Source organism: Homo sapiens, chromosome 15, assembly GCF_000001405.40.
Source record: "Homo sapiens chromosome 15, GRCh38.p14 Primary Assembly".
Classification (NCBI taxonomy): Eukaryota; Metazoa; Chordata; class Mammalia; order Primates; family Hominidae; genus Homo; species Homo sapiens.
The window spans coordinates 67,783,915-67,800,084 of NC_000015.10; the positions used below are offsets into that span (position 1 = coordinate 67,783,915).

Genomic DNA, 16,170 nt, shown 5'->3' on the forward strand with positions numbered 1-16,170 from the left:
CCACACTAGCCAGTATTCATACTACAATTTATTTTCTCTAAACAAACTTGAAGAGATTGAAGTAACAATTGCACCTAACTTGGGGCTGAAGATGAATCCAGAAAGGATCCTGTTTTATAATCTTTAAAAAATTGATTTATTATATAGAGAGAAATGGATCTAAACATAAAACATTTTAAACACTTAAGTTAGAGCATTCTTTCATCTAAGTTATCTCATTTGACCTTCACATGAACACTATAAGGATTATTCTTATTCCCATTTTACTGATGCATAAACTGGGTCTCAGAGAGGTTAATTTCCTTGCCTAGAGTCACACAGCCAGGAAAAACACAGGACTGTCCTACTGCACAACATCAAAGCTACACCCGTTGTTGCATAGTAGGCAGAGGATTGTTATTGTGGTTTAGAGAATTTCCGCTAAGTCAAACTATTTCTTGCAGTTAGAAAAATAAAGCTAAATACAAATACAGGACCACACAAACAAACTTGTAGGATTTCAGCAGAGTGTGCTTGTGAAGCCAATGCCCCTGTAGGATGCTTTGCTCAACTCCCTCCCTATGGTCCCTTCCACCTTGATGCCACAGGCTGCATCTGCAGGGCCGTGGTCGAGGCAGAGAGCAGATGGCTGCACACACTCTCCACCCATCCCCAGGTGGCAGGGTGGCCTGGTTGAAGCCTGAGCCTCAGTAGAGACAAAACACAAAAGAGGAAGTAATTACCAACAGTTTGCACCTGGTCTGTTAGTTGGTTATCTGAGGGGAAGCTGTGAGAATTTATGTAATCATTGTTTCTTTGGTTTTGGCAAAAACTGAGGGCAGAGTGTGTCCTGACAGCTGTCTGGTCACAAACCTTTCTGCCTTTCCACTTCTGCCATCATGGGTATAGAAATGGGCAACTTCCAAGAGATGATGTTCCTCAAGTTTGGGAGAAATTACCTTTAACTCAACAAACTTTTTACTGAGCACATTCGTGTTTAGCTGAACTCGGAGTATGGGCTGTGCACCAGTGGTAGTATCTGAACTGTTTGTTGTTTTTTCCCTGAGACAGGGTCTTACTGTGTCACCTAGGCTGGAGTGCAGTGACACGATCTTGGCTCAGTGCAGCCTCAATCTCCCAGGCTCAGGTGATCCTCCTACCTCAGCACCCGCCCTTCCTTGAGTAGCTGAGACTACACATGAACAACACTATGGCTAATTTTTGTATTTTCAGTAGAGACGGGGTTTCCCCATGTTGCCCAGGCTGGTCTCAAACTCCTGACCTCAAGTGATCCGCCTGCCTGGGCCTCTCAGAGTGCTGGGATTACAGGTGTGAGCCACCGTGCCCGGCCCCGAACTGTTTCTTAAACACAGGAAGATAAGGAATTTGTGCCAGGATATAAATCAAGCCTGTCTGAAAGCATTCTGTTTAGTTCAGTTCAGCTTTTTGGAGCAAAACGTTGTGAGCGAAGAAAGCTGTTTGCGGTTCACATTGCAGCATGGCTACTTGTATCATTGCAGGCCAGCAGCAAGCAGTTCACAGGACGACTACTTGAGTGGCACAGCTGTAGGGAATACAGAGGGCTATCAGACACTAATCCAGCAAACACAAATCCATCATACATGCAAACAAAGTAGTCAGGTCACACAAACAGGAAGCCAAACAATCGGGGTCCATCTTGAAGGGAGAGGGGAAACAGCAAGGAGAAGACAACCCACAGATGTCCACACCAACACAGGTGCTGGAGGTGTGGAGGCAGCAGGGGACCTGGCATGGAGCCATGACCTCGCTCATCCTATGACCTTGATGGAAGGAGGGGAAAGGTAGAAGGGTTTGTGATCTGACAACTGGCAGGATGTGTTGTGCGTAAAGCCTGGAGAGGCTAAGGATGGTCTTTCAAAGCTTGCAAATCAGTCTATCGTGTGAATGTGAGCCAAGAAGCAACCTGGGAAACTGGAAAGAGATTGAATTGGATGTCAGAAAATATAGCTTCAAGTACAGGCACTACCTCTAGGAAACTGGGCAGGCAACAGCTGTTTACTTAGCCCATCTGAGCCTGAGCTGCTTCATCTGTAAAATGGGGTAATGATACCAACTTCACAGGGGGCTTTTAGCTGTTAGGTTGTTTTTTTTTTTTTAACTTACAGAAGATGGAGGTTATGAAAGTGTTTGTAAACTATGAAGTGCGAGACATACATGGGGCACGAGGTCATTCAGCCTCTTTGGGTCATGATTTTCTCATCTGTCTGATGTTCCTGGGTATTTCCAGCTTGTTGCCTCTTGGAAGATACATGTGTTTAGGGAAGTTTAATGTGACTTAGAATAAATTATATGTATGTCGGATGTTTGCAATTGGTGTACACTGAATTGGTAGTCTCTTGGGGTGGTCTCTGTGGTTGAAAATCCAAACAAGATGAAGCACATTCCTCCCCACTCACTGGAAGCCATAACTTTTCATGTCTGTCCTTTATTATTGGTAAAATGTAATGAGCATCTTGTTGGAGGGAATTATTGTAAACCAGTTAATCAACAAGTATTTGTTGTCCAGGTCTGTGAGGTGCCATGATGGGTTCAGAAAGAATATAAGAAAGACCTATGTCTCAGGAGCAGACTAGACATGCCCATTGGCAACATTTAGAGAAGGTAGATGAGTGCCAAGCTGCTGGCTTGGGTGGTGCGGGAGCTCGGAACAGTGGCCGAGGGGCCGTAGTAGTCAGTGAGGATGCCTGGCTCGGGCCTGAGTACAGAACTTGGAAAGTGGTGGTACAACAGAAAGCCAGCTTCTCCCCTCCCTCTCCCTTCCTCTCCTAGCTGTCCATCCTGCAACATGTTACTGAACGCTCTCCACCTCTAGTTGCTTATCTACAAAAATAGAGTATCGCAAAGCATGAAATTTAAGTGAGATAAAAATGTTAGACACTTAGCACAGTGTCTGGCATAAAATAAGTGTTCAATAAATGGTAACCATTTTTATCGTCATTGTCATCATCATCACTGCTAATAACAAGAGGGAAGACATTCCAGGGAGAGAAAATGGCACAGGCTGAGACCGGAGGGAACAAGGACAGTGAAGAACCCACCCTAGCCAAAGCAAAAAAGACCCTTGGAAATGATGGGGTAAAGTTAGCTGCATGGGGCCAGTGTGATCTGGAAGGGCTGTGCACACCAGAGAGTAGTGGGGCAGTTGGACGCACTTGTTGGTTCTTAAGCAGGGAAGTGGCTGTTCAATGATAGATAGGCAGGCAGGGCGGACAACAGGACTGATTCCGCCTGCCCCTGGTGGGCCAGACCCTCTGGCTGAAGCTGATTCGTGCATAGGAATGTCCTAACCCTTTGGCTGTTTCTCAAATTTTGCGAAGGTCTCTAGCCAAAAGGATGGGAAACCGAGTTCAGCGCTTGTAGCTGTTTGGCAGCATGTCACTTGTCTCTCTTTCTGCATCTTCTTTTCTGTGTCCTTTCTGTCACTATCAGGGAAAATCATTAGTATGCTAATCTAGCTAGCCGTCATTTTAACACTGACCTTTGCTAACCTGCCTTTGCAATTTCAGGAACTATGTTTGACTTCTCTAAAAGTAACCTTAAATTGTAGTCTTGTAAGAATTCCAGAGCTGTATCCTTCACTCCTTCTTCTAATGAGGTTATGACCAAATGCTCATTATAATTGCTTTAGACTCCTTTTAATTTTCAAGCTTATTAATCATAAGAAGAGTTATTTAAAATTGCATAAATTAATCTTAGATTAAAAGCCCATCAAAGCCTCGAAACAATTAAGAATAAGTAGGATTTCCCTGGGGCAGCAAGTTTTATTTTAATATTGTAGTCAGGTGGATATCAGAACCTTGAAGTATGGTAGTGATTAATGTATGCAAAATTTAAATGAGATTTTTTAAATGGCAAATCTAAATCACATGTTGACCTAACTGTAGGCTTTAACTGCATTGTCTGTCATATATTTAAACTGTTTACTAATCAACATTTTAATTACAGCATGTGCTGGCAGACCCTAGGACAAATAAAATCTAGCATTTAAAAATGTTACTGCAGTCTATTACCCAAAAATAATAAGGCTCTTAATAAAATTGGGAAAAAATGGAGGAATGAGAAAACAGTAAACTTTGTTGGCACAGCACCGTCCTAAGGTGTGGAGACTGTTCTGGATACTTCTCAGCCCCTGATCTCACCTTGAAATTCTGCTGGTCTGAGGCAGCTTCCTCTTCATGGACCTGCAAGTGTGTTGCCTTTGATGTTGATTTATATGTAATTAGGGAACTACTTTGCTTTATATATTTGAGTCCCTGGTTGCAAGCATTATTTACTTAAACAATGTATAGCTCTGGGGCCCCCAGGCCTTCTCCCCTTTTTTTTATATGGAGATAAGATGTTTCCAGAAATTTGATTTGGCCTCAGCCAGTCAGCAGCCTTTTGTCCTGCCTTCCACTCACCTCCTTGTATCACTGCTGGGTTATACAGGCTGTCCCCAGGAAGGTAGCCTCAGGCTGTCTTAAGTTTGGAAAGTATTTCTCTATTTTATAAATACTCTGCTTCATTATTGAAGGTAGATGGGTAAGAGAGTCACCTTGAGCAAGTTACTTCACCCCTGGAAACTTTAGTACCCACTGCATGGAAAGGGGATAATAGTGACCAATTTACTGTTACTGTTTTTGTAAAAAGGCAAATAAGGTGAAGCACATAAGCACTTAATATAGTAGTTGGAAAATAATAGGTTCATAAGCAATGTTTATTCCTGCCATCATCCATATTTATTTGCTAAAACTAGTTTTTAAATTATGATTAAAAATTTGGCCAGACATGGTGGATCATGCTTAATTCTAGCTCTTGGGGGGCTGAGGCAGGAGGATCACTTTCGCCCAGGAGTTCGAGACCCGCCTGGGCAACATAGTGAGACCCTGTCTCTACAAAAACTTAAAAACTAGTTGGACATGGTGGCACTGCCTGTAGTCCCAGCTTCTCAGGATGCTGAGGTGAGAGGATCACTTGAGCCCATGAGGTAGAGGATGCAGTGAGCCATGATTGTACCATTGCACTCCAGCATGGGTGACAGAGAGAGACCCTGTCTCAAAAAAAAAAAAAAAAAATTACACAGTACAGAAGGATATACAGTAAGAAGTTAGTCTCCTTCCAATCCTCCATATCTTCCAGCCCTAATCTCTAGAGATAAGCATTGTTAATAGTAGCTTGGGTATCCTTCTAGAATTTTTAATTCTTTTTATTCTGCACCTTGCTTTTTTACTTAGTGAGTCATTGAGGTCTTTCCATATAATATAAAGATCAACCTTATTCTTAATGGCTGTATAGTATTCCATACTATGGATGTATCATATTTATTTATCCAGGACCCTGTCATAGGATATTTTGACCATTTCCATATTTTTTTGTTATTAAGACAGTGACTGTGTCTCTATGTATACATCTTTGTATACTGGATATGAGAATGTTAGCTCTTCTTCTTCATCTCTTCTGATACTAAATTATCAGATTTTAATCTTTGCCAACCTAATCAGTGGCAAAATGGTATCTAGTTGGCCAGGCGTGGCGGCTTAACGCCTGTAATCCCAGCACTTTGGGAGGCCAGGTGGATCACCTGAGGTCAGGAGTTCGAGACCAGCCTGGCCAACATGGTGAAACACTGTCTCTACTAAAAATACAAAAATTAGCTGGGTGTGGTGGGGGGACCCTGTAATTCCAGCTACTCTGGAGACTGAGGCAGGAGAATTGCTTGAACCCGGGGAGGTGGAGGTTGCAGTGAGCCGAGATCGCACCATTGCACTCCAGCCTGAGCAACAAGAGCAAAACTCTGTTTCAAAAAAAAAAAAGGATCTAATCATTTTAATTTATGTTTATTTTATTAAGTATGAGGATTAACACTTCTTTCATATGTTTGTTGGTCACATTTTTTTTTTCACATTCTTTGCCTGTTTTTCTGTTGAATGTGTTGTCTCTTCCTTCATCTTGTTGAAGATTGATTTTTCCATCTAGACAGTGAAGGGGGTGGACACAATTTCCAAGGCCCCATCCCACTTCTGCAGTCTGTGGTCCAGGCCCGAGTGTCCTTTGGGCAGCTTTTACACTACCAAGGTGCTATTTGCTCATGACCTTGTCAAGCAACATTGAGGTTGAATAGCCAATAGCTGGGGGTAAACTACAAGAGAGTCGTTTTCTTTTCCCTTTGTTTGGTTGTGTATCTTTCTTCCACTCTTAAAAAAGCAGGCTTGGAAATTGCAAGGCAGAGCTGGATTGAACTTCCTTTAAAGCAGCCTGTAGACATCAGGAATATTTATTTTTTCTATTTGTTTTAAGCCTGGGAAGACTGTGTGGTTTTCTCAACACTGTCCTGATGGAGCCCTGACCAGCAAGCGTGCAATGCCCCTAGCCCTAATGTGCCATTAATGATAGGTTAATGTACAGTATAATGTTTTTGGGACTACGGGTTCATTACACTTCTGAGTGTGAGGTCTTTCCACAGAGCGCCCAAGGTCCCATTGCATTATATCATGCAATAAAAATACCCTTTTCATATCACACACTAATAAACTGTATTTGAAATGCTGTCTGAGGGCACTGCCGTCTTGTCTGTAGGCTGTGCACAAGTGCAACAGTTGGGATTCCTTTTTTCTATTTTGTGGTTTAGTTACATGGAATTCTAAACCCAGAAGTCTGCTCATTCTTGTTTTAAATGGGGAGCAAGTTGGGTCTTTAGGGCTGAGGCTCAGAGGAGGGGCTGCTTACTGAGTGGTGAGGGTCTTTAAGATGTGGAGAGCAGCCTTTAATTCTCTACTGCAGCTGTCAGGAGAGCCAGTCACATAAAAACAAACAAACAAAAAAAAAAAAACCTGTGTCCTAATGTCTGCCACACTTAGTGCTGAACATGTGTTAGGTGTTATAAAAGTTTCCTTAGAAAAGGAGTATGATAAGTACTGCAAAATTTAGGCCACTGATAGTTATGACTATGGAACTGCCTCTGGGCTGGGAATTTCACACACACTGTCCTGTGAGGTTGATGCTGTTCTCCATATTTTACAGAAGACGAGTCAGAGCTAGGGGGAATAAGCTGTGTTGTAGAGAATGAAATCCATAGGACTCCTGGAAACCACAGGTAAATTATTACCTGTCTACCCAGAGAGAGCTCCTCACGCCATGAATAGTCCACCTGTGAGACATCCGAGCTGCAGCTGGGCAGGAGCCAAGCATCTTCTTTTCAAATGCACATGGCCCTAGTGCCCTTCTTAAGTTATTCATACTTTCCTGTGAATTGGCTTAATGTCAGCAGTTAGCTGGCATAAGATGACTTTGAAGCTTTGGAAGAGGAGACTCTTCTGCATTAAACAGGAAAAGGGGCATTGGAGTTGAGGGATGAGGCAAAGACTGAAGGATCAAAGGGCTTCAAATCACCTGTTTCATATTTTCTCTAAGGCAGACTCTGACTTTGTTATGCAGGGGCTTGTTTTGACCACTTGTGGAGTGTGGGGAAAGACTGACCTGTGAAGGCCAAGAACCTCAAGAAACTTGGGCTCAGGCATCATTACCATCTTAGAGTGCAGTGTCCTTGTTTATAAAATAGGTTATCATTTACTTTCTGATAGGGCTTTTGGAGATCACATGAACTAATGTAAATGAAAGCACCTAGTGAGCACCTGGCACAGGGTAAGTGCTCACAACTGGCTGCTATTATATTGCACATCATCACAAAAGGCACAGGTTTGGGAGCTGACATCCAGTGCAAATCCCAGCTCTACCTTGGCCAAATCCACAAATTGAGGGAAGTAACAGTAATGCCATCCAGCTGCTTTATGGGGTTGTTGTGACACTGAAATAAGATAATGAGCTTGAAAGCCGGTTGTAGAATGAAAACCACTACTCAAATGCTGGTATCAGTAAATATAAGCATTTCTCTCTCCAAATCAACATATTCAAACTGGGTTGTCTTTAAATAAATATCCTTACAGCAAAGGCAGTAGGAGCAGCTATTAGGAAGATTCACTGATCTGTTCCCCTCACCACCAGGGAGAATGTCATGGCTGCAACAAAGACTTAAAATAGCACAAAGCATATAAAAGTCAGGGCAATTCTTACCTCCTACCTCTTCATAACGACAGAGCACCAGGCAGAGGAGGGGCAGGGCCAGGTCTCTGCTCACCTGCATTGGTGAGAAGAGAGCCAATACCTGCTCAATGTGGACAGTATTGCTTAGAACAGTGGTGGGAGGTCAGGTTTGCAAAAGGAGGTTAAGATCAAAGGAACTGTGTTGAAGGGTTGAGTTGGTCTGGTGGAAAGAAAAAAACTAGGACGTTGCTAAGACCCTCCTGCAAAAGACTGGACCTTCTGGCTCTAGGCAAAGTCCCCTTAATTGTTATGAGAAGAGTATTTAAATTTCAAGGATAATTAGTTTTTCTCTTAAGGGGTATAGGGTTAGACTAAACCTTTTATTTTTAGATGTGAGGTCTTTGAAACACTTGGATACACCTCTCAGGGGTTAAATCTGTCTTTGGGGCTACCAGGACTTGAAAAATGTTGCTCTGTATCAAGAAAACCAGAAGTGACAAGTTCATTTAAAAAGCCTGGTTTGTCATTGTTTATCTAATTTTCGGGGTTGACACAGAAAATTAAACCAGCTGACACTCACTCTCTGACCGTCTCTCTGGCTCATTTCCCTGGTCCTTTCCTACCTGACCTTGCAACTACAAAATGCTCCAGACCCTAAAATATAAAACTTCCCACTGAGTTTCTGAGTCACCCTGCAGTCATTCCAAGATTATGTCATTGGATGTCATCCCTAATGGTATTAAAAATCAAGATGAAGTTGTAAATCTGCTCTGTGAGATATTTCTTTTCCGCCCCCCGCTTTGACCATAAATCTTAAAAGTAATCAAACTCTCTGCAAAGAAGCCAAGGTAAACTTGGGCCCAAAGCGGCCCCGTATGTCTTTAATGAATTCAGAGGATCGGCAAGCTTGTCTGTCCCCGTGAGATCACATGGTGCTTCATGGCAAACTTTACAGAAAAGTGGGCAAAGTGAGAGCCTTCATTGTGTTTAATATGGATTTTCTAAAACTCACATGGCAACATCATAGGTGGATGAGCTGCTCCATGTAAGAAAATTATTCAGATAACTGTAGTGTATTCTTTATAAAATCAAACTTTAAAAAATTACAAGCAAGAGGTCTTAAATGTGTTATAACACTGCTCTATCCTCTTAAACAGATTACATGCATCAGGATTTAATTTTTTACAAAGTTAAATTTACTTCCAGCTACTCGGGAAACTGAAACAGGATCATCTGAGCCCAGGAGTTCAAAGGTGTAGTGCGGAATGATTGTGCTTGTGAATAGCCACTGTGCTCCAGTCAGGGCAACACTGTGAGACCTCATCTCTAAAAAAAAACAAAAAATTCTTTAGCTCATTATTATGGACATTGTCTATTTGCCATGTTCTATACCAGTATCTCCTGATATTGACACGAGTAGGGCCATTTGTCCCTAGGCTGGTTGACCCCAAGCTGGTTTTTTGTTTTTGTTGTATAGTTTTGCTAGTAGATGTCATTTCTTGCTGCTGTTCTTGTTCCTCCCTTTAACACACCTTCGTCTTCTCCTTCTATTTGGCTGTTTCTCTTGTGCTTTTAATTGGGAAATCAGATACTAAGCTTGTTAGAATCAAGTCTAAAATACAAGAAAGCTGGCTTAAGGAAAAGCTTGAGGCACTACCTAAAATTAAAATGTTCAAGTTCTAGTTTAACTTCCATATTCTTAGTCTGAGATAAGGGTGTCAAAGTATAGTGGTCTATAGATTGTAAAGTGCCCCTAGATTTGGAAACTGGCCATTTCACTGTATAGAAAATATACTCTTTGATCACGTTGTATATAAATGTCCAAGTTTGAAGCAATATGATTATTTTGATCTTGAATCAGTAATTAAGGTGGACTTCAAACTGTTGAGGTTTTATTTTCTGAGAGGACCAAAGAGTCATGAATGTGCCAGGGAAAGTCCTTAGGTTCTAAAACCAGACTTAGATCTAGGCACATAGAAACCGCTCCACACATCCATAGTGAATCTTATTGAATTAAAGACCCTTGGTAAAATAGACACAGCTACCATTAGAAGGAAGCTTGCAACTGAATAACTTGTCTTTCTTAACAGTGGAAATAGACTTTGGTTTCATGAGGCTCTGCAGTGAAGGTGGCCAGCTTATTTGTAACCAAAGTGTGCTCCCTCAGTCATTCATTCTGCCCATGACCAGTGACACCACCTTGGAAAATGCAGGTCACACCAGTCACCACCATCAAAAACGCATTTCAGGCTTCTGTACATTTAATTTTCTTCAACATTACCTTGGAAACCACAGTAAATCAATAACAGAATAGTTAAATACCACAGGTTCTTTGTGTTTTGTTTTAGAAAATATTGCTCAAGGCTAAGAGTGAGTTCTATTGATGATTTTTATTTGCTGCTGGGATGCAAAACAATCAGAATTTTCGAAGAGTTTGCTTCCTTTTTGTGCATTTCCTTTTTTAAAAAAGGAGGGGTCTGTTTCAGATGGAAAACATTGGTCGCTAATAGCAGAAACTTGAGAATAATTGGTAATTTTCAATCCTGTAGAAAACTAGACTAGGTCTGATGACTTTGACCTTTGTTACGCTCTTCTTCCAAATTTTCCCCAGCCAGCTCCCTGCACTCCTGACCCTCAGCAGCCCATTCCACTGAGGGTCGGGTAACTCTGGAACATCACAGCTGAAAAAAAAAAAAAAAAAAAGACGGTACTTCATTTAGCGTTATTTACATTTACCCAAAGTTTTGATGTTTTGATGTCCAGTGTCTAGCAATTTTTTCCTCTGTATTTTTTGTTGATTTGATAGCAGCAAAAATTTTCCACTTTGGCTCAGTCTTTGTGTAAATGGTTTGTTTCTCCCTGTTAAGGAACTAGAAAAACTGTTACTAAGATTTTAAAGGGGTAGCAGCCTTTACTTAATTGGCTGCTTCTTGAAATAAGATGAGACAATAGATATGAAATGCTTTGAAAAGTTAAAACTATGATGATAGGACTCTGAAACCTCTGACGCCCCCGCGGTGGGTGATGTTTTGTCAGTGCTCATTGGCACCTTGCCAGCCACCACCATTATCACTTCTCCACTTCTCATCATCTCACACTCCCTTTCTGCTGTTGTGAGTCGTCACTCTCAGCATTTTTCAAATGTTGGCTTCATATCATTCATATGGTAGGCCCTTATTTTTCAATTTTGACTGGATTTGTGGTTATGTATCTTTTTTCCCTTCTTGATATTTACTTGTTTTCTGTTTACCAATTTTGATCATCTTCATGACATCTTTCTATTTAATTCCTTCATGTTCTTTATTATTTGCCATCTTATGATTTCTTTAGCTATGCTTTTTGTTCTTTTTATAATGTATTAAACACTTAGCTCATAAATTTTCAATATTTTTTCCTAATATATGCCTATAAAGCTATGAACTTGCCTGCTAATATTGCTTTAGCTGCATCCAACAAGTATTTACATGCAGTGTTTTCATTGTCCTTCAATTCTAAGTAATTTTCAATTTCAATTAGGACTTTTTTACACCAAATTATTTAGAAGTATTTTTTATCTCCAAGTAGTGAAAGATGTTTTGTTATCTTGTGGTTATTACCTAATTTTAATCCACTGTGGTCAGAGAGCATGCTATGTATAACATCAGATCTTTGTTACTTGTTTAGACTCCCTTAGAACATGGTCATTTGGTTTTTCCCCCCAGTGTTCTCTCTTTGCTTGAAAAAAGTATATATTCTCTAATTGTTGAATGCAATGTCCTATAGACATCCTTTAGATCAACTTTATTGTGTTTCTCAAATATTTCGTGGCTGTACTAATTTCCTACCTGCATTATCTATCAATTTCTAAGAGAGGTATGCTAAAATCTCCCACTACTATTGTGTCTGTGTCTGTTTCTCCTTGCATTCCTGTCCATTTTTGCTTTATATGTTTTAAGGCAGTAATGTTAAGTTGCATATGTCAAAATATTGTGTCTTCATTTCAAAGTATTTCTTTTGTCTTTATGAGGTGATTCTATCTCTAATATATTTTCCTTTAAATTTTATTTTTTGTTGATATTAATATAGCTATGCCATCTTCTTTTGGTTAGTATTTGCTATGTTTGATTATCCTTTACTTCTGTGCTCTTTTACATGAATCTCTGCATTTTGTTGTTGATGTTTTAAATTTTAACTAAGGCTCTATTAATTGATTAATCATTTATATTTATTGTTTGTTGATATACTTGAGTTTTTTGTACAGTCCTATTTTGTACTTTCTCTCTACTTTTTTGATTTCTTTTTTCTTCTTTGTCCATTGTATTGCAGTAAGGTTTCTTTAGGCCATTCTTGCATTGCTACAAAGAAACACCTGAGACTGAGTAACCTGAAAAGTGATTTAGTTGGCTCACAGTTCTGCAGGCTGTACAGGAAGCATGGCTCAGGGCATCTGCTCAGCTTCTGATAAGGCCTCAGGAAGTTTAAAATCATGGCAGAAGGCAAGAGGGGAGCTGGCACATCACATGGCAAAAATATAGGCAAGAGAGACAGTGGGTAGTGGGGAGGTGCCACACACTTTTAAAGGATCAGATCTTGTGAGAACTCACTCCTTTCTTGAGAACTCCACCTCCTGTTCCAGTCACCTCCTACCAGGCCCCATCCCCAACATTGGTGATTACATTTCAACATGTGATTTGAGTGAGGTCAAATATCCAAACTATTTAACATATCCGGTTTTTTCCTTCACATTTAGTTTTACATTGGTTTGGAATCATATTCTGTTTCTGGCCTCTAATTGCTTATCCCTAAGTTAGCTTCAATTATATATAATAAAAAACAAATAGTAGCTTAAACAAGACAGGAGGGTGTTTCTCACTCATGTTAAAGCAGACAGGAAGTAGGGTGTCCAGACTGATCTGGCAGCTGCTTAAGGGACATTCAAGCTCCAGCCAGCAGGAAAGGAGGAAAGGGTGTGGAAATGCTTGCCTCTTCTTTTAAGGACAGAATTTCTAGGAACCGGCACACATTGTGTCTGTTCACATGGCGCTGGCCAAAACTGACCCCCAGGGAGGCTGGGAGTGCTGTTGCTCTGCTAGGTGACAGTGTTTCCTGCTAAAATCAGAACTCTTACCACAATGAAGAAAGGGAGAATGGATACCAGGGGGCAACTAGCAGTCCTTACCGCAGCCCCTTTTCCCCCAGACTTCAGGGTTTTAGAGTTTCTGATCACTCCCTTCTTACATGTTATCACAGTCCAGAATTTCATTGTCCCCTTGTTTTTAGATCTTAAAAATCATTACTGCAGTTGTGGCTTTATATATAGTTACTGCTTGTTCAGATTTATCCACATGCTTGCCAGTTACTCCTCATTGTGATTGTATTCCTTCGGAGGTTTCTTTTCCTTTCTGAAGTACATCAAGAGTTGTGTCAGTATGGTCTGTGAATGGTAAAACAGTCTGAGTTTTTGTTCTAGGATTGGCTTCCCTTTGCCCTAACTCTTGATTGTGAGTTTAATTGGATTTAGAAGCTTAAGTGGATAATTTCTCCTGAGTACCTTGGAGATATTCTGTTGCCCTCTAACTTCTACTGTTGGTGGTAAGAATCTCCTGACTGCCAAATTGCTACCCTTTCTAGGCAACATGTGTTTCTCTTTGGTGCTTGCATTTTCACTATAGTTTTTCTAGGTATAGATTTTATATTTATTTTACTTGGAAATCACTGGTTTTTTTTAAATTTGAGAATTCACATCTTTCATTGGTTCTTTTTTTTTGAGACAGAGTCTCACCCTGTGGCCCAGGCTGGAGTGCAGTGGCGTGATCTCGGCTCACTGCAACCTCTGCCTCCTGGGTTCAAGCAGTTCTCCAGCCTCAGCCTCTGGAGTAGCTAGGATTACAGGCATGCGCCACCACACCTGGATAATTTTTGTATTTTTAGTAGAGACAGGGTTTCACCGTATTGGTCAGGCTGGTCTCGAACTCCTGAGCTCAGGTGATCCACCCGCTTCAGCCTCCCAAAGTGCTGGGATTACAGGCATGAGCCACCATGCCCGGCCTAAAATGTTTTCTTACTCAAGAGGTAAGGAAAGCAGAGGACAAGGGAGAATCCATCCTTCTGAGCATTGTGTCTTTAAACCTCCATCACCACACAGCCATCAATCACCCCCAGAGACAAACCTTGAATATCTAGACACTTGTCACTGGCCCCATATTCACAGTGTGGACATGCTGCAGACTCCACCTTTCAGGGGTGAGTCCTCAGTATCATCTGGAGCAGATGTCCATTCTCCTCTGGCATCCTCCCTCCTGATCCCTCTGGGCATCTGCGTGGCCCAAAACTGCCGGAGGCAGCCAGCATATCCCCCACTGTACAGCCTGCCCAGTCCTATCCAAGGCCCCTGCCAGAGCAGCCACCACAGCCCCCTTTAAACAGGCCAGTGGCACAATTCTGCCATTCACAAGGATCAGCTTCCTCCGACAAACTCATGAGTGTCGGCACCCCAAGTGTCTAGCCACCTCACCATGGCCCACTGGAGTCATCCTGTGCCCCATCCAACACCGTACAACACTGGTCCTGCGGCTGCTCTGTAAGTACAGGCCCTAGAATGACTCACAGACACCTCTGGAAACATTTTTTTTCTCCCAGTGGTCCATTTCTGGCCTATTACTCTGTGTAGAAACACATAGATCTGCTCAGATGAAAAGTGGAGAGCTGCTTGACCCCCTTAGGTGCCTGCGTACTGTCTAGGATGGCTAGAGGTAAGCAATTTGCTGCTAATAATTGAATATTTGGGGAAAAACATCTATTTCTATAGCAATTATGAAGAATAAACTCAGGAAGGTTGATTGAAATGACATGTCACAGCTGCATACCACTTCCCAGGTCTTAAAAGGAAATGAAGGGCTGGCAAGGAACCCCCACCCCCAAATATGGAAAAGCTTTAGAAATCAGAGGCCAAGACAGCCGGGCACGGTGGCTCACGCCTGTAATCCCAGCACTTTGGGAGGCCAAAGCAGGTGCATCACGAGGTCAGGGGTTCAAGACCAGCCTGACCAACACGGTGAAACCCCATCTCTACTAAAAATACAAAAATTAGCTGGGCATGGTGGCGGACACCTGTAATCCCAGCTACTCAGGAGGCTGAGGCAGGAGAATTGCTTGAACCTGGGAGGCGGAGGTTGCAGTGAGCCGAGATCGCGCCACTGCCCTCCAGCCTGGGCGACAGAGCGAGACTCCGTCTCAAAATAAAAAAATAATAAAAATAATAAATCAGAGGCCAAGAAAGCATGTTCTCAGAACAAATGCCTTGTGTGGAAAACTCTGCATTCGTGGCATTTGCCCAGGTATGCTCGCTATGTGGACAGGAAGACTCCACATCTTTGGTGCAAGCACCTCCTCTCACCCCTGTGCCCTCAAGTGCAGGACCTGTGCTCTGTGTGGAGGAATAACCCTCACCTGCCCAGAGTATATCTGTGAAGCACCACCCCAGGGTCAGGTGACTTCATTTGGTCCTTACAACCCACTCCGGGAGGAAGAGAGAGCAGGTGGTATTTGGTGTGGGTGAGGAAGCTGCAGACAGCTGCCCTGTGTTCAAAACCAGCTGACAGATGAGACCCAGAAATGATGGAGAGAAAGTATCAGCTTTACTTCTATACAAATCTGGATTGGAGGATGTATTTACAAGTGTGGCCCCAGTGGCCTTGCTACGCAGAGGTGAACAACTGCAGGCCTCCTGCAGGCTTAGAGCCTGCCTGGAGGCTCAGCATGAGATGGCAGGCCAGACAGATCTGCCCAGTGGGCCCACCCACCCAATGTTGCCACTCCCTCCCTGGGGACAAGGCTCAGGAGTGTTACAACAGCAGCAGTACTTCCATATAGAATGAAGCCAGGAGAAGGGAGGCCCCCTCCACTCTTTGGTATTATCTCTTTTATAGGCGAGGCCCTAGTGGGATGGCCAGGGGAGGGCTGACCGACTCTTAGCCAGGGGCCCTTGCTGTCACTCCACGCAGAGTGGGGGGCGGTGGGGGGGATTGTTATTGTGATGCTTTGGCTTCCTCTTGCTGAGTCACTTATCAGGTCCTCTCCTTCCCTGGCCATTCCTGTTGATTAGCCTGGCCACGCCCAGCCTGGAAGGAAGAGTTGGCCCCAGGGATAGTT

The 16,170-nt window shown here is 42.4% G+C and overlaps 1 protein-coding gene across 3 annotated transcripts in view, besides 1 other annotated feature; it reads left to right on the top strand.

Moving 5' to 3' along the window:
- The window catches only part of MAP2K5 (mitogen-activated protein kinase kinase 5), a 264,412-nt gene that overhangs the window by 241,212 nt on the left and 7,030 nt on the right, over positions 1–16,170 (top strand). The gene's annotated exons all lie outside the window — the stretch shown is intronic.
- Positions 6,940–7,809: an enhancer, noted in NCBI's record as "OCT4-NANOG hESC enhancer chr15:68083192-68084061 (GRCh37/hg19 assembly coordinates)". NCBI's record gives its function as "activates a minimal SCP1, AML or CMV promoter by ChIP-STARR-seq in naive H9 embryonic stem cells {active_cell/tissue: H9 hESC(naive)}" and the evidence as "EXISTENCE:reporter gene assay evidence [ECO:0000049][PMID:30033119]".